Source organism: Homo sapiens, chromosome 15 (assembly GCF_000001405.40).
Source record: "Homo sapiens chromosome 15, GRCh38.p14 Primary Assembly".
Taxonomy (NCBI): domain Eukaryota; kingdom Metazoa; phylum Chordata; class Mammalia; order Primates; family Hominidae; genus Homo; species Homo sapiens.
In genome coordinates, this window is record NC_000015.10 from 22,439,232 (window position 1) to 22,458,075 (window position 18,844).

At 40.8% G+C, this 18,844-nt stretch overlaps 1 long non-coding RNA gene and 1 pseudogene across 1 annotated transcript; both read left to right on the forward strand.

The window, feature by feature from the left end:
- Positions 13,785 to 14,265, forward strand: MPHOSPH10P9 (MPHOSPH10 pseudogene 9; annotated as a pseudogene).
- Positions 14,121 to 15,149, forward strand: LOC124900355 (uncharacterized). The gene is made up of 2 exons (XR_007064786.1): positions 14,121 to 14,152; positions 14,838 to 15,149. It is a non-coding gene; the product is annotated as an uncharacterized LOC124900355 (long non-coding RNA).
- The last annotated feature ends 3,695 nt before the right edge of the window (positions 15,150 to 18,844 follow it).

Genomic DNA, 18,844 nt, shown 5'->3' on the forward strand with positions numbered 1-18,844 from the left:
ATTGCAGTGGTACGAACCTGCAGACTCGGCCTCCTGGGCTCAAGTGATCCTCCCACCTCAGCCTCTTGAGTAGCTGGGACTATAGGCAGGTGCCCCATACCCAGCTAATACCATACCCACACAGCAGAGACATAAAAGATTTCCATCCTCAAAGAAGGTTCCATTGAACAGCACTGCTCTAATTCAATAAAAAATACCACTGAGCACAACATAGTAATAGAAAAGATTGAAGAGGCAGTGCTGATACTTAAAAACCTGGTATTTTCAGCCAGGCATGGTGGCTCATGCCTGTAATCCTGGCACTTTGGGAGGCTGAGGTGGGAAGATCGCTTAAGCCCAGGAGTTCTAGACCAGCCTGGGCAACATGGTGAAACCCTGTCTCTACAAAAAATACAAAAAATTAGCTGGGCATGGTGGCATGTGCCTGTAGTCCCAGCTACTTGGGAGGCTGAGGTGGGAGATCACCCGAGCCTGGGAGGTCAAGGCTGCAATGAGGTGAGATGGCACCACCACACTCCAGCCTGGGTGACAGAGTGAGACCCTGTCTCAAAAACAAAAAACAAAAAACAAAACAAAAACACCTGATATTTATTTTTAAGTACACTATTTTCAAACATTCAGAAGTTATTTCATCCTACCTTCATGGTTTCCATTCTATGCCTGGTTTAGAATTGGGATCTGATAAAATAAACGTGTTCAACAGAACCACTTCTCATGGCTGTATAACAGATGATCAATATGTATTTGCTGAGGAAATCATACAATTTTCTTAATTTTTTTTAACAAAAATTGTGCTTTCAAGGGACCAAACTTGAATACTACACCTTCATGTTCTAAGAATCAGGGGACTTATATAAAACCTCAGTTGCCTGATAAGGACTACATCAAAGTGAAAAGCCATGGGAAAGAACTAGAAAGTATACTTTTGACCCTAGTTCTGTAAAGTTTCCTTATGCCACAGGTAATACACATCGCAATTCCTGCCAAATTCTTTCCCTCACCTCTGTTTATGGTCTCGATTCCATAAATAGGAGAAGGGCATGAATTTGCTTTAGTTAGATAGACAGATAGATGGATAGATAGATAGATGGATGGATGGATGGATGGATAGATAGATAGACAGAGATAAAGATAGAGACAAAGATGGAGACAGAGATGGACATAGAGACAGATTTGCAGAAGATAAGTTCTAGGTGAACTAGTGTCAACATTAAAGTGGTATGCCTACATCTAACTATTCTGGAGAGAAAAACATACCTCAAAGAAATTGACTTAAATATATACAGAGAAAAAGTTTAAGCTGAAAGCTACTGCCTTTTTATATGAGACACTTTAGGAAATTACTTGGGGGGCAAGAGAGAAAATGGGTGGACATAGCTCAGAGGTTACACAGTAGCAGATATGTAGGATGAACAAGCCTAGAAATATAATGTACAACGCAAGAAATATAGGTAATAAAATTGTGCTGTATTGGGATTCACGCTAAATGAGATTTTAAGCTCCTCTTGCCACCAAACAAAAAGAAAACGGGTAACTATCTGAGTTGAAGGATACGTTAATTTGCTTCACTGTAGTAATTTTTTTAACCATCTATATGCATCCCACAAAATCATGTTGTATACCTTAAATACACAGAATACAATTTATTTAACATAAAAAACTACTCCAATATTTTCTGCATTTTTAATATGCTCACCCAAAGAAAGCATTAATTTGCATCTTTGATGTTAAACAGATAGCCTAATCAAGTCACTATCAAGATCAAGACTAAAAGTTACAGCTTTTTTCTTTTGATGCCTTTCAGATATATCTATTTATATATAAAAATATATATACACACACACATACATACACACACACATATATATGTAGTTATGTGTGTGTGTATATATAGTTACAGTTTTGGCCAGGTGCAATGGCTGACACCTGTAATCTCAGCACTTTGGGAGACCAAGGCTGAAGGCTTGCTTGAGGCCAGGAGTTTGAGACCAGCCTGGGCAACGAAGCAAGACCCTATCTCTACAATTTTTTTTTTTTTAACAAAATTAGCCAGGGATGATGGCATGCACTTGTAGTCCCAGATACTTGGGAGGCTGAGGCGGAGGATCCCTTGAGCCCAGGAGTTCAAAGCTGCAATGGGCTGTTACTGTGCCACTGGATCCCAGTCTGAGCAACAGAGCAAGACTTTGTCTCAAAAACAAAATTTATAATTAAAGATAAATAGTTATAGTTTTATGAACCTTGACTGCAACTGAGGGAAAATCCCGTAATTGGCAAAATGAATTCTGCCTGCTTGCAAAACTTCTGACTAATACGGAATGAATAATAGGAAGCCCATATTAGAGGATCCACATCAGTTAAAAAGTTTCCAAATAAGAGTGACTCTGAGTTCTGCAGAGTGAAAAGATTGGGTTCAAACCAAACACTTGCAAGATCTTGAGTAAGATACTTAATCCCTCTGTGACTCACTGTTCTCAAATGTAAGTGAAGATAATTTGTAACTCAAAAAAAATGAAAAAGTTTTCTCTAAGATTGTAAATCCTAAGGATAATTTCATTTTAATATCAGTTATTTAGTCTGGATACACCATAATGCAGACTAATTTTCCCTCTGCTTAAAGACCACACAAAAACATTACCAATAAAATTTACTTGTGTATCAACTTTTACTCCTGAGACTTCATCGTTTGTTTGGTTAAAAAAAAAAAAAAAAAAGCGCACTAGACCGGGCACAGTGGCCCATGTCTGTGATCTCACTTGCGGAGGCCAAGGCAGGTGGATGAGTTTGAGAACAACCTGGGCAACATGGAAAAACCCCGTCTCTACAAAAAAAATATATAAAAATTAGTCAGGTGTGGTGGCACATAACTGTGGTCCCAGCTACTCCAGAGAGTGAGGCGGGAGGATTGCTTGAGCCCACGCAGAGGTTGCAGTGAACCAAGATGGCACCACTGCACTCCAGCCTGGGTGACAGAGCAAGACCCTGTCTCAAAAAAAAAAAAAAAAATCACTATAAAATTGAAATTCACAACAAAATGTGCATACTTAACCTTCTTTTTATTTATTTATTTATTTATTTTTAATATTTTGAGACAACATCTTGCTATGTTGCCTAGGCTGGTCTTGAACTCCTGGGTTCAAACCATCCTCCAGTCTTGACTTCCCAAAGTACTGGGACTACAGGTGTGAGCCACCAGCCCCGCCAGCCCTGTTACACTATTCTTGGCCCCTCAAGTGACTGTATGAATTTTAGGATCAGCCTCTCGAGTTCCACAAAAAAATTCTATTGGGATTTGTGTAGGAATTTCTTGAATTTATAGATTAATTTGTTGAGAAGTAGTATGTTTATAGCATTGAGTCCTACGATTCATAATATATATGGCATATATTTCAGTTTAGTCAGTTCTTCCTTTAAGTCCCTGGGTAATTTTTATATTTGTCTTAGTCCCTTCATAGTGCTATAACAAAACACCTGAGACTGGGTAATTTACACAGAGCAGAAGTTTATTTTCTCAGTTCTGGAGGTTGGGAAGAACAAGATCAAGACTCCAGCAGACACAGTGTCTAGTGAGGGCCTGGTCTCTGCTTCCAAGATGGTACGTTGAATGCTGCTTCCTCTGGAGCAGGCAAATGCTATGTTCTCATGAGGCAGAAGGGACAGATTTACCACCACCCACAAGCCCTTTTATAAGGAAGGCACTAATCTCATGCATGAGGGCTCACCCTTATGTCTTAATCACTTCTTAAAGGCCCCACTTCTTAGTACTATCATCTTGGGAATTAAGTTTTAATACATGAATTTTGGGAGACACATTCAGGCTATGGCAATACTCTTCATGAAAGGCCTGTGTATACTTTGCTAGATATATTCTCAGGGTTTTGTTGCTATTGTGAATAGAATCTCTTTTTTTTTTTTTTTTTCTTTTTTTGCCACGGAGTCTGGCTCCTTTGCCCAGGCTGGAGTGCAGTGGCGCGATCTCGGCTCACTGCAAGCTCTGCCCCTCCAGGTTTAAGCAGCCTGTTGCCCAGGCTGGAATGCAGTAGCATAGTCATAGTTCAATACAGCCTCAAACTCCTGGGCCCAAATGATTCTCTAAGCTAATATTTTTAATTTTTTAGAGATGGAGTTTCATTCAAGGATCACTAAAGGCCAGTGATCCTCCCGCCTCAGCTTCTGAAATTGCTGGGATTACAGGTGTGATTGAGCCATGGAGCCTGGCCAGACATGGGCTATTGATTCTCGCTGTTACTCTTTTCCCTTTCCTTCTAATCCTTGTATTGGGAAGAAAACAGTATGGAAATTTTATTTCTTCATTTTATTGATACGTAGATCTCTGCTTAGAAGACAATTTTAGTTTTAAATTATAAATGTTTCGTTCATTATTCATAGAAAACTAGATTTGCCATGGGATATTTATAAGTGTTGCACGAATGAAGGGTTTTCTAGTCAAATAAGTTGAAACACATTACGTTAAACAAACTTGGACAGTTTTGTTTCCGGTCATTTTTAGAGTTCTAAATTATGATTCTACTCAAGAGGATATTGTATGCGGTATTTTCAAACCAACTCATCCTGCGTCAGGTTGTGGTTACGCTTTGGGAGAGGAAGCTATAATCTTATACTGAGACTGTAATGAATGTATTAAGGTAATTTTCGTAGCTTTCTCTTTTTGGAGCTACCTGAGAAATTATGACACCCTTTTCCAAACAGGCCAACCTGCTTTGCAAACACGATTTCCATAATTTTAACAATGGTGAGGCCAGGCACGGTGGCTCATACCTGTAATTCCTTCCAGCACTTTGGGAAGCCTAGGCAGGAGGATCACTTAAGCCAGGAGTTCAATACCAGCCTGGGCAACATGGCAAAAACTCATCTCTACAAAAAATACACATATTAGCCAGGCGTGGTGGCACACACCTATAGTCTCAGCTACTCAGAGGTTGAGGTGGGAAAATTGCTCCAGCTCAGGAGCTCGAGGCTGCAGTGAACAGTGATCACGCCACTGCACTCCAGCCTGGGTGACAGAGCAAGACCCTGTCTCAAAAACAAACAAAACAAAACACAAACCAAGGGTGAGAGAGATGTTAGATGTTTTTGTCCTTGTTACAGATGTAAATGCTCAGTTGGAAAGAGGGAAGTATTTAGAGTGAAAAAGTTTCGGTGGAACACACACAAAAATAGGAAGATCAGGTATAACTGTTCCAAAAAAAAGAGTATGGCAGTATAGAAGAAAAGGTCTCCATGAAAATGCAGAAGAACAATTTCACAGCTGGTGCTGGCATTTCAGAGACCTTGAGCTGGGAATCAAAAGATGGGAATTTCAGTCTCGGATGTGCCACTCCTTAGAGGTTTAATATCTACTAAACCCGGCGGGCTCCACTTGGTGGTGGTTGCTATTTAAAAAAACAAAAACATGTGGCAATGATCTTCCACGTGATTCTGACTTGAGCCCCACGCGAGTCTGCAGACTTACCCTTCCACTGCTTTGCCCTTCAAGTTTGTGCCCATTAGCAAAGAGAAATTTTCTCTTTGGGATCACTGCTGTGTTGATCTCAGGAATATTTGGCGTTGAATTTAACATATTTTTCATATGTGTGTGCAATAGGGAGGCTGAGAAAGTTGTCTTTTTTTTAAGGTGTTCATTTTTGGGGTACAGGTAGCAGCCTGCTCTACAATCCACACAGAAGCTGGAAATAGCCTCTAGAGAATTTCCACGTTTAGAGAAGATAAATTTATACATTTGTATCTAATCAACATTTTTTAGCTAACATAGTAGTCTAATTATACTATGTATAATTATACTATGTATAATTATGGGTACTGAAATGACTCCTGGCATATGCTGTATGCTGTGTTATATATACATATATATTTACACATATACATATATATTACACATATACATATATATTTACACATATATATTTACACATATACATATATATTTACACATATATATTTACACATATACATATATTTACATATTTTACATTTACATTTTACATTTATTTTACATTTTACATTTATTTTACATTTTACATTTACATTTGACATTCTACATTTATTTTACATTTACATATTTTACATTTACAAATATTTACATATTTTACATTTATATATACATATATTTACATACATATATTTACGTACATATTTTTACATACATATTTACATGTGTATATATTTACATACATTCACATACATATTTACATATATATTTACATACATACATATTTACATAATATTTACATACACATATTACATACATATATGTACACATATACATATATTTACACATATACATATACTATGTATAATTATGGGTACTGAAATGACACCTGGCATATGCTGTATTTAAAAATGTGAGGTTCAGTGAGAACACATGGACACAGGAAGGGAAACAACACATACTGGGGCCTGTCAGGGCGGGTGGGGGAGGAGCATCAGGAAAAATAGCTAATGCGTGCTGGGCTTAACACTGAGGTGATGAGTTGATAGGTGGACCAAACCACCATGGCACACGTTTCCCTACGTAACACTCCTGCACATGTACCCTAGAACTTAAAACAAAATTTTAAAAATAATAAAAAATAAAAATGTGAAATTCAGCACATAAACTGTTGGTTTTATTCTTCATATTTTCTTAATTCAGAAATTATTTTCTGAACTATGGTTTATTAGATAATTTTGACGTAACAATTTTTTTTTTTTTTTTTTTTTTTTTTTTTTTTTGAGACGGAGTCTCGCTCTGTCGCCCAGGCTGGAGTGCAGTGGCGCGATCTCGGCTCACTGCAAGCTCCGCCTCCCGGGTTCACGCCATTCCCCTGCCTCAGCCTCCCGAGTAGCTGGGACTACAGGCGCCCGCTACCACGCCCGGCTAATTTTTTTTTGTATTTTTTTAGTAGAGACGGGGTTTCACCGTGTTAGCCAGGATGGTCTCGATCTCCTGACCTCGTGATCCGCCCGCCTCGGCCTCCCAAAGTGCTGGGATTACAGGCGTGAGCCACCGCGCCCGGCCGACGTAACAATTTTTTAAGAGGAAATTTAAGTTTTACTTTTTAATTGGGGCTCTTGGTTCTTTTTAAGAAAGACAGAGATAAATCATTTATACATTTAATTAGAAGAGACTGGGCTTGAATTTTTAAAAAGTACTAGAAATCGTAGCCACTATATATGTTATCTTTGAAATGTTTTAGACACTAATTACCTAAACAAGGAGCAAATAAGTTAAAACTCTTGGATTTTAATAAGAACTAAAATGTACAGTTGTATTTTCTGGTTTTTTAAATTGTTACAGTCTAAATTTATTCTTCCTAATGAAGAAATGTATGTGCCGTCAATATCAGGTTCTTTGTGGGTACTCACAGTTCCCTTTGCCTTTTACGCAGTGAATGTGGGCAACATGCGTGGAACAGAAATGATGTCGTTTTCTTTCTTTTGAATATCACTATGAATCTAATAATTCAAAGATTCCTAACTTTCTGAATGCCATTATTAATTGGATTCACAATGACTTACCAGGTACAGAGTTGTCCCGTGTGTCTTGGGGTGAACTACTGAGAGTGGTATGAGGGAAGCGATTCTCAGCTAGCGCTGAGTGGGGCCACTTCCAAAGAGGTGATGGGGTAAGAAGCACACACAATGTGGCATTTTCACTGCAAAGGGAGGTTTGTGCTGCCTCTCCTCCTGTGGCAGGTCTGCTCGCAGGGGAGGCTCCAAAGTTTGGCTTTGCTGGGTTTGGCATGTGAGAACTGATGAAATATCTGTATGTAGTATCTTTCAAGGATTTATATCGGTTGGATTTCTGTGTAAATTTGCATATCCCTTTGACTGCTTTACCCCATAGAAGCTTTGTATGCTTAACAAAATCTGTAACTTTTCTGTCACTTTCTCATTTAGCATCTGCCTTTCTGGCTTTTTACTTTATCTTTTTATTATTGTTTTTAGTTTAATGAGATTATGGTTAGAGAGAAAGATGGGTGCATGATTCCGCTTCTTTGGAATTTGTTGAGATTTTCCTTATGGCTCAGTACATATGTACTTGGGGGGGTGAATGCTGTCACTTTGGAGAGATGTTTTTTCTGTACATTAAGTCAAGCTTGTTAATTTTCTAGAGAGATGTAAATCTTCTATGTCTATGCTGATTGTTTTTTGTCTCTTTTATCAGATACTGAGATATGTATTTAAATTGCCCTCTGAGGGTTGCAATTTTGTCATATTTTGCTTTCATGTATTTTGAGTGCTAGTTATTAGATACATTAACATTTTAGATTACCTTCTCCCTTGGTTTATTAGAATTTTTATCATTATATTGTGGCCTTAAAAAATCTCCCATATTGCTTTTTGCCCAAAGCCTATTTTATCTGATAATAATATAGCTTCCAACCCTTCTTTGGGTTAGGTACATATGACAGGTGTATCTTTTTTCAATCTCTCTCAGTCTTTCTGTGACTTTATGTTTTAGATGTCTTTTCATACTGTTTATTTTCTGTTTTTTGTGTTTTTTTGTGTGTTTTTTTTTTTTTTTGATACGGAGTCTTGCTCTGTTGCCCAGGCTGGAGTGTAATGGTGTGATCTCGGCACTGCAACCTCTGCCTCCTGGATTCAAGCGATTCTCCTGCCTCAGCCTCCTGAGTAACTGGGATTACAGATGTTCACCACCACGCCGGCTAATTTTTGTATTAGCAGAGATGGGGTTTCACCATGTTGGTCAGGCTGCTCTCGAACTCCTGACCTTGTGATCCCTCCGCCTGCCTCATCCTCCCAAAGTGCTGGGATTACAGGCATGAGCCACCACGCGTGCCCTAATTCTGTTTTATAGTCATTTTCTCTTAATTATTCAGTCTATTTACATTTATTGTGATTGTTGGCATAGTTTCTTTTATAACTTTCATCGTATTTTGTGCTATTTGTTCCATCTGTTTTTATTTCTTCATGTCTTTTTTGTTTCGTTTTTGCTAATTCCTTTTATATTCATGGTTATTCTGCTCTTGAAATGTATGCTATGTGAATATATTTGTGAGTTGACAATACTTTATTAGCAATTAAATATACTATTTCTCTTTTTTTTAGAACTTGCTCAAATGTTACATAACCTCAATATCCTTAGTATCTAAATTAAACTGACTTTCTGAACAATCATCATTTTAAGGCAGTTACCACGATCTACTAAAAAATAAAAAAAAATTAGCCGGGTGTGGTGGTGGGCGCCTGTAATCCCAGCTACTCAGGAGGCTGAGGCAGGAGAATCCCTTGACCCTGGGAGGCAGAGGCTGCAGTGAGCCGAGATAGCGCCACTGCACTCCAGCCTGGGCGACAGAGAGACTCCGTCTCAAAAAAAAATAATAATAATAATAATAAAGGAATTTAAAAAAAGACTGGGTTTAACCATGTTGCCCAGGCCGGTCTGGAACTCCTAGGCTCAAGCAATCCCCCACGCTTGGCCAGTCCAAAGTCCTGGAATCAAAAGCGTGAGCCACCACGCCAGGCCGATCACGCCTGTCATCCCAGCACTTGGGGAGGCGGAGGTGGGTGGATCACCGGAGGTCAGGAATTTGAGACCAGCCTGGCCAACATGATGAAAACCCGTCTCTACTAAAAATACAAAAAAAAAAATTAGCCGGGTGTGGCGGCAGGCGCCTGTAATCCCAGCTACTCAGGAGGCTGAGGCAGGAGAACCACCAAAACCCGGGATGCAGAATTTGCCGCGAGCGGAGACCCAGCCACTGCACTCCAGCCTGGGCAACAAGAGGGAAACTCCGCCTCAAAAAAAAAAAAAATAATAATAAGAGACAGATTTTCACCATGTTGCCCAGGCAGGTCTGGAACTCTTAGGCTCAAGCAATTCCCCACGCTCGGTTGTCCAAAGTCCTGGGATCAAAAGCGTGAGCCACCACGCCAGGCCGATCTATTTCTTTCTGATTAATAAATTGGGCCGGGAGCGGTGGCTCACGCCTGCAGTCCCAGCACCCCGGGAGGCCGTGGCGGGCGGATCACCTGAGGTCGGGAGTTTGAGACCAGCCTGACCAACATGGAGAGACCTGTCTCTACCAGAAAAAAAAAAAAAAAAAAAAAAAAAAAAAAAGAGCCGGGCATGGTGGCTCCCGCCTGCAATCCCAGTCACTCGGAGGCTGAGGCAGGAGAACCACCCAAACCCAGAGGCAGAGGCCGCGGGGAGCCGACACCGCACCACTGCACTCCAGCCCTGCAACAAGAGGGAAACTACGCCTCAAAAAAAAAAAGGAGAGAGAGAGAGAGACCGGTTTTCACCACGTTGCCCAGGCTGGTCTAGAACTCCTAGGATCAAGGGATCCGCCACGCTCGGCCCGTCCAAACTCCTGGGATCAAAAGCGTGAGCCACCACGCCAGGCCGATCCTTCCTGTCATCCCAGCACTTTGGGAGGCCGAGGTGGGTTTACCTGAGGTCCGGAGTTCGAGACCAGCCTGGCCAACATGATGAAAACCCATCTCTACTAAAAATACAAAAAAAAAAAAAAAATTAGATGGGTGTGCTAGCGGGCGCCTGTAATCTCAGCTACTCAGGCGGCTGAGGCAGGAGAATCGCTTGAACCTGGGAGGCAGAGGTTGCAGTGAGCCGAGACAGCGCACCACTGCACTCCAGCCTGGGTGACAAAGTGAGACTCCGTCTCAAAAGTATATATATATAAAAATAAAAAATGAAATAAAAATAAATTGGGTGTGTGCGCTGGCTCACGCCTGCAATTCCAGCATCCCCGGAGGCCGAGGTGGGCGGATAACCTGAGGTCTGGAGTTTGAGATCAGCTTGCCCAGCATGGAGAAACCCCGTCTCTACCAAAAACAAATAAAAAAAAATTAGCAGAGCAATGTTGGTCAGGCCTGCAATCCCAGCCACTCCGGAGACTGAGGCAGGAGAACTACTAAAACCCTGGAGGCAGAAGTCGCTGCGAGCGGAGACCCAGCCACTGCACTCCACCCTGGGCAACAAGAGCGAAACTCCGCCTCAAAAAAAAAAAGAGAGAGAGAGAGAGACCGGGTTTCACCATGTTGCCCAGGCAGGTCTGGAACTCCTAGGCTCAAGGGATACCCCGCGCTGGGCCATCCGAAGTACTGGGATCACAAGCGTGAGCCACCACACCAGGACGATCTATTCCTTTCTGATTAATAAGTTGGGCCGGGAGCGGTGGCTCAAGCCTGCAATCCTAGCACCTCGGGAGGCCTAGGCAGGTGGATCACCTGAGGTCGGGAGTTTGAGACCAGCCTGACCAACAGGGAGAAACCCCATCTGTACCAAAATAAAAATAAAAAAAAAATACAAAATTAGCCGGGCTTGGTGGCTTATGCCTGCAATCCCAGCCACTCTGGAGGCTGATGCAGGACAACGACCGAAACCCGGGAGGCGGAAGTCGCGGCAAGCAGAGACCCAGCCACTGCATTCCAGCCTGGGCAACAAGAGCGAAACTCCGTCTCAAAACAACACAAAACAAAAAGACCAGGTTTCACCATGTTGCCCAGGCCTGTCTGGAACTCCAAGGCACAAGCGATCCACCCTACTTGGCCGTCCAAAGTCCTGGGATCACAAGAGTGAGCCACCACGCCAGGCAGATCAAAGCGTTGAGCTGAATAAAGAGTTATCTTTTAGCATTTTGTGGAGCCCGGGTAGATCTGTGCAGGGGGAAGCATATTACAGAAGCGAGAAACAGAGAGTTATTTAATTGAAGCACGCATTATGTTTTTTTTTTTTACGTTTTTAGGAAAAATATGTTTTGTGACTTGCATTTGTTTGTTTAGTGACCTTGCAGTTGCACAGTTAGGGAATTAGGGTTTTGATAATGCCTGGGAAGGGAGCGATAAGGCTCACTAGCCATAGGAAAACAGGTAGTTTTTTTAAAGGACTAAGGCTCTTTCTCATTCTCAGGGGGAATTGGGTTTTTTTTACATACAGCTGAGTTTTTGCTTACACATTTTTTCATTTCTTTTAATTCCTGTTCCAATGCCAGCATCCTTGCGGTGCGGTTTCCCAGCGGCTCTCTTGCCTTGCAGCTTGTGTCGGGAGTTGCAGACAGCCATGGCCCATGGGCCTGGCGCTGACGGACCCTGGAGCGGTGTCTGAGGGAGGTGGGCAAAGCCACTGGCTGGCCCGAGTGCATCCTCACGTAAGTGCACAGATCCCGGGCTCGGGTGCGACTGCGGTCGCACGTGGACACGGGTTGCAGACCCCTGGCAAATTGTGGAGCTGGGGGAAGGTAAGGGGAAATGTAAATCACTTTTCCCCACATTTCAGAGGACCTAGGCTATCAAAATTTTAAAAATTGTTAAAACTTTTACAGTATGGATCTCTCAGATGAATGTTATTGAAATCAACCTAACCTCAGTTATTCACGCCTATAAGCTCCCCTTGAGGCTTATTACGGCCCCCATCCCCCTACACACAACTGTGTTGGTTTCTCCTTCCGCCTGTGCTCCTAAAGCACTCAGTGTTTACCTGCCATCATACTTTATTGAAAGCACAAACTTGTCACTTGTCTGTCTACCCCACTAAGCTTCTTGAGAATTAGAACTTTCATGTCTCTTCCCAACACAAACGTTTTATGTGTATTTTGTTGAAGAACTTCAAATATGACCTATAAAATTATGACTCATTTATGTTTCAAACTCCAACCTCTCCCTTGAGTTCCTTGCTCACAAGCAACTCCAGACTGAGCTTAGTTGGAATTCAGTAGCGCACAACTGGGATATCCGCACCGTACGGCTTTTAACAATTTTTTAAATTTTGATCCTCTCAGCATCACAAATTCACTGTGTCCAAAATACAGTAGAATGTTGTTTCTACCCACCTACACTCTGCCATCCGCTGAAGTCCTTTCCCCTTGCTCCACCACTCAAGCCTTGCCTATCGCAGTAAATGGCAGTTCTGTCTCTCCAGTTGCTCGCACATAAAACTAGGCTGCTATTTTGATGTCTTCACTTTTCTCTATTCTGTATCTAATTCCTTAGCAATCCTGTCAGTTCTACCTCCAAACTGTACTCAGCATATTCACTGCTCTAACTCCAGCTTAAATCACCATCATCCTTTGCCTGGAATGCTGCATCAACCTTCTAATCACTCTACTTTCCTCCTCCTCCTTCCTCCCTTTCTTCTTCCTTCGTATAAATCATCATTTCATCCTTCTGCTTAAAATCTTCTCACATTTTCTTATTACACTTAAAACGGCAAACTCTTACCCTTGAGCCCTGCAGAATTTGGCTCCCATCAGTCTCTCCAACTTCACCTTCTGCCTCCTTCACGCTATAGCCATGCTCACTTTTTTATTCCTCAGGCTTACCAAGCTCAATTGCATCTTAGAGAATTTGTTCTTGCTGTTTCTTCCGCCTGGAATACATGTTTCCCAATCTTTATAAGACTATACTTGTCTGTAAGTTTCATCTCAGATGTCACATCTAGGAGAGGTTTTCCTTGACCACTGTAGCCAAAGCAAATGTTGATCATTGAGTGAATAAGGGAATGAATGAATGGAGTGGTATATAATGTAGCAGAGTAGAAAATTTAAGGCTAATTCTCTATATATCTCCAAGCAAATAGATTTGTAATGCTTTTCCTGCCAACAATCTATACAGATGATTCACAAATACTTGGTTGACAGGTTTTATATATCATTGTGGCTCATCAGCTTATATATTATTGGGGCCAGAATCTATACTTACACTTTATTCAAATTTGATTTTACAGAAGAGTTGAGGTTTTTATTTTTCTTTTAATTAAGAGGGCTGTGAAATTATTATCTATAATTCTAAATCTCATTTAATTCCTCCCAATAGGTTTCAAGATGGATTGGAACCAAAGTTCACTTCTTTAACAAAAGTGCTTTATGACTTTAATAAAACAGTAGAGAATGGTAGAATCCATGGCAGCTCTTTACAAAAACTTGTGATAGAAAGTTTTGATGATGAGCAGACTTTGCAACAACTGGAATTGCAAAATGAAGCAATTTTACAGTGCTTCCAGAATGCGGTTAGTGAAAGAAAGATGAAGATATCAGTCTTCTCCCAGAGAGTGAAGAACAGGAGCATGAAGAGGCTGGTTCAGAAACAGAGGCTGATGGCCAGGAGGACCTAGAAGATTTAGAGAAGGAGGAGGATGTGTCAGATATGGGTGGTGACAATCCTGAAATGGGTGAGAGAGCTAAAAACTCAAGCAAATTCAGGGCCAGGCGCGGTGGCTCACGCCTGTAATCCCAGCACTTTGGGAGGCCGAGGCAGGCGGATCACGAGGTCAGGAGATCGAGACCATCCTGGCTAACAAGGTGAAACCCCATCTCTACTAAACATACAAAAAATTAGCCAGGCGTGGTGGCAGGTGCCTGTAGTCCCAGCTACTCGGGAGACTGAGGCAGGAGAATGCCATGAACCCGGGAGGTGGAGCTTGCAGTGAGCCTAGATCACGCCACTGCAGTCCAGCTGGGCGGCAGAGTGAGAGACTGCATCTCAAAAACAAAAACAACAATTACTTAACTTTAGGATGCTCCAATAATCAAAATTGATAGTGGCTTGTGAACAGATAGATTACTTGAATAGAATAGAGCCCAGAAATAAACCCAAATGCTTCTGGGGGAGTTTGGTACATTATAAACATGACATTTTAAATCAATGAGGAAAAGAAATCATTTGCAGCTCACCCCACCATACACAGCAGGAATAGGAAGTCATTGGCAGAATAAAAAGATGGTAAGAACAGAACAGAATTGTAGAACAGTACATTTCTTGCTTCCCCACTTTTCAAAGTATTTTTTGCTTTTTCACAAATGTAAGTGTAATTTTATTTTCTAAATGTATACTAATTCTTTTCTTCTCTTTCTTAGATGAATGACAAAAATTACATCTTTAGAAAAAGAGTTGTTAGAAAAAAGCCTTGGCTGCATGTGGGGGAAGTGACAGCACAGAAGAGACCAGAGAAGAGCCTCCTGGAGGAGAGCCTGCACTTTGACCATGCTGTCCGGATGGGTGCAGTGCTCTTTTCTGCAAAGTGTTCACTTCTCTGCTTTTTCTGTGGTCCCATTTCATAGAAAGATTTGGGGTGATGTTTCTTTCCCTCAACTTTTATTTTGAAAACTTGCAAACACAGAAAAGTTGATAAAATCATACAGTGAACATCTGTATGCTATTCAACTGGATTCACTAGTTAATGTTTTGTCACACTTGTTTTCTGTCTTCTGCGTATGGAAGATTGTATATGTGCCCTTTTTCCCTCTGAATCATTTCAAAGTAAGTTGGCAGTATCAGAGCATTTCACTGTTAAGTACTTTCGCAGATATCTTCTAGGAACCAGGACTTCTCCTATATAATCACAATACCATTAATCCACCCCCAAAATTTAACATCAATACACTAATGATACCTACTGTATAGATTATAATCAGCTTCCTTGCAGCAATCTGTTTAGAAGGCTTGCATCCTGTCACTGTCCACTGATTAAATTTTGAACTCTAACTTGAAACCCTGGTCATCTCATTGCCTTCTTTCTTATACCCATTAAGTCAAAAGGAGCTCTCATTTTATTTCAACAGAAAAGAGAATGGAAAAGAGGGGAAGAGTCCCTAGTACCTTGGATAAAGTATGAGCACTTACTACCATATGTATTCTAGTTCTGTAGTTTTCAAACTTCAGGGAGCATCTCAAGGCTTATTAAAGCACAGATAGCTGTCCTTCCCCACTTTCTGATTCAGGAGGTGTGGGGCTGGCCCAGGAATTTGCATGTCTAACAAGTTCCCACGTGTTTCTGATGCTGAGGGTCTAAGGACTACAATGCATGAATCCGTGGTTTAGTGGATATCCACCTAATGAATACATGTTGTATTTCCTTTGGCACCCGTGATTACAGAGGAAACACCTTTCAACTGGAAGGTATCATTAAACAGAGGATAAGAGATCAGATCAGTAAGAATTAAATTTCACTTAATTGAAATGTCACTCAAATGTTTAGAAATAATATGACAGGCCAGGCACAGTGGCTCATGCCTGTAATCCCAGCACTTTGGGAGGCCAAGGCAGACGGATCACTTGAGGTCAGGAGTTCGAGACCAGCCTGTCCAAGATGGTAAAACTTCCTCTCTACTAAAAATACAAAAATTAGCTGGGCATGGTGGTGCATGCCTATAGTCCCAGGTACTCGGGAGGCTGAGGCAGGGGAATCGCTTGATCTCGGGATATGGAGGTTGCAGTGAGCTGAGATGCGCCACCGCACTCCAGCCTGGGCAACAGAGTGAGACTCCATCTCAACATAAATAAATAAATAAATAATAAATAAATAAATAAATAAATAAATAAGATAAAAATAAAAATAAAGGGAAGATGGGGCAGCTTTGTGTATTGCATGTCCTGAAAATGGGCTGATTTCTCTCAAGAGGCAGGGATTTAAGCTCTGTAGCCTATGTGGGATACATACAGGAGAAAAAAGAAGAAAAAGAAAAGAAATGTAAATATAAATAAATGAAAATAACACTTTTCCATGATTATAAAGGAAATCACATTGTTTTTGTAATAATTTGGATGACAAAATGTAAAGAAAAATCTTTAATTTTGCCACTCAAAACATTCCAGTTTGTTGCTTTTCACACTTTTTATGCTGTAAACATTTTAAAAAGTAGAATCACAATACATGGTCTTTTGTCACTTACTATATTTTAAGCATGTTTCTATGGGAGAAATATATCCTGGCATCATCACTTTCAACAGCTGGATGTATGTTAAGTGAATCATTGCCACCCCAGAGGTGGATTTCCTTCTATATATATTTTAATGGACTCGAGTGAGGATTTTTGCACTGAATTCATAGAAGTAGAATTTCTAGAAGAAAATAATATAAAACAGTTTTAGGATTTTTAAAACAAATGTTCAAATCATCCTATAGGAAAATTGGTTGAGTTTACGCTCCCACCAACAGGGACAGAGCTCCAGGTTCCGCCTTCCATTTGTCGTCTTCGCTGGTCTTTAAGCAGAAAATCTCATTGTTTTCATTACCTTTCTTTGATTTCTAGTGCTTTTGAATCTTTTTCATTTGCTCATTGGCCATTTTTATTCTTGTGGGAAGTGCTGGTTTCTCCATTGCCCATTTTCTGCTGCAAATCATTCATTTTTTTTTCTGAGTAATTTTAAAGATTTCTTTATAGGCTAAGGATACAAACCTTTAATCTGTCATTGAGGTTACAAAGATCTTCTCCCAGTAAGTAATTTGTCACTTCACTTTATTTATTTATTTTTTGCTAGCAAAGCACCAAAGTCAAATTTCACTTAATTTTTATCCTGCTGAATGAACACATTTTAAGTTAGTGATTTTAGTGGAAACAGGAGCAGGACAGAATGTAATAATTAGATCTCGCTCTGTCACCCCAACTGGAGTGCAGTGGCATGATCATAGCTACTGCAGCCTCAAACTTCTGGGCTCAAGTGATTTTCCCACCTCAGCCTCCCAAGTAGCTCTAGGACTACAGGTGTGTGCCGCCAAGCCCAGCTAATTTTTAAATTTTCTTTGTAGAGATATGAATTCGCTATGCTGCCCAGGCTGGTCTTTAACTCCTGACTTACCCCACCTTAGCTTGCCAATATGCTGGGAGTACGGGCGTGAACTACTGCTCCCGGCCAAGAGCTTACTTTGGTTTGCTAGCAAGGTTCTTGGTATCTTTTTATATTTGAGGCTTTCGTGCTAGTGCTGAAGTATTACACTCACCATCTGAGGTTTACAGGACTTTTGTTTTAATATTGAACCGAGGGAACTGTTTAGTTTTGCATCTTTGCAGGTATACAAAATGTGCCTACCAGGACTCTGCTTTATATCCATTGAAAAGCAAGAAGTAATACAGTAAAAGTTTGCCTGGCTACAGGCTTTGGAAGAATGGAGTATTCTGGTTTAATTCTATTAACTTGGAAGGATGAAGGTGGAAAAAATTCAAAACTTTAATTTCCTGTTGAATGCAATTTGAAAATATAGCCAATGAGTCCACTTTTCTTCTCTAGTAAGTTTGGACATTCAGATCTACTTGGTCTTTTATCATAGAACTCCTAGTGCGCCTGAGTCTTACGTTGTGAAAATCCTTTTCTAAAACTTTAGATGTAAGAGGATAGAAATGATATTGGATGAGATCAGGCTGGATGAGAACTGATACCTGTAGATATATTTTTTAGATGAAATCTCTGATTGCCACACGTTTTCTTATTGAACTCATAAAAATAAAACACACTGGCTGGAGGGTGGAAGTAGGAAGGAGATTTATGTCTTTTAATTGCATGTCATTGTTTCATATTGAGACAGAACATATAGTATCCCTGGCTTTGGACCTACAGAAGGAAACACATTTTTCTACCTGCTGTATGGCAGAGGTTCCTGAGCACCTGGAGGGATTATTGCAGCACGGATTGCTGGGCCCTACTGCAGAGTTTCTGATTCATTCATGTCTAGGGTGGGGCCTGAGAATTTACATTTATAAGAAGTTCCCAGGTGCTCCTGGTCCGGAGACTACATGTTTGAGAGCCACCCTTACATACTAACTGTAAATTGTAGAACTCTAGAAAAAAGCGTAGTTTGGACTGGGAGAAGAAGCACACAGGTAATGGAGCAAATCATGAAAAAGTCAACCCTTGATCCCAGGTAACAAGCAATACACAGTGACATAACACAATTCTTGGTTTTCATGATTGCAAGTCATAGCCAAGTATCGAGTGAGAAATTCAGTTTCATTTTCAGGGCTTAGAGGCCAGGTGATTCTAGAAAAATCGGATTTAGTGATTAACTCATGAGAGTAGGAGTTATTTATGTCCTTTTTCTCTCCCCCATCACTTAGCATTTAGCCTTACTTTAGAAGGGTCCTGTATT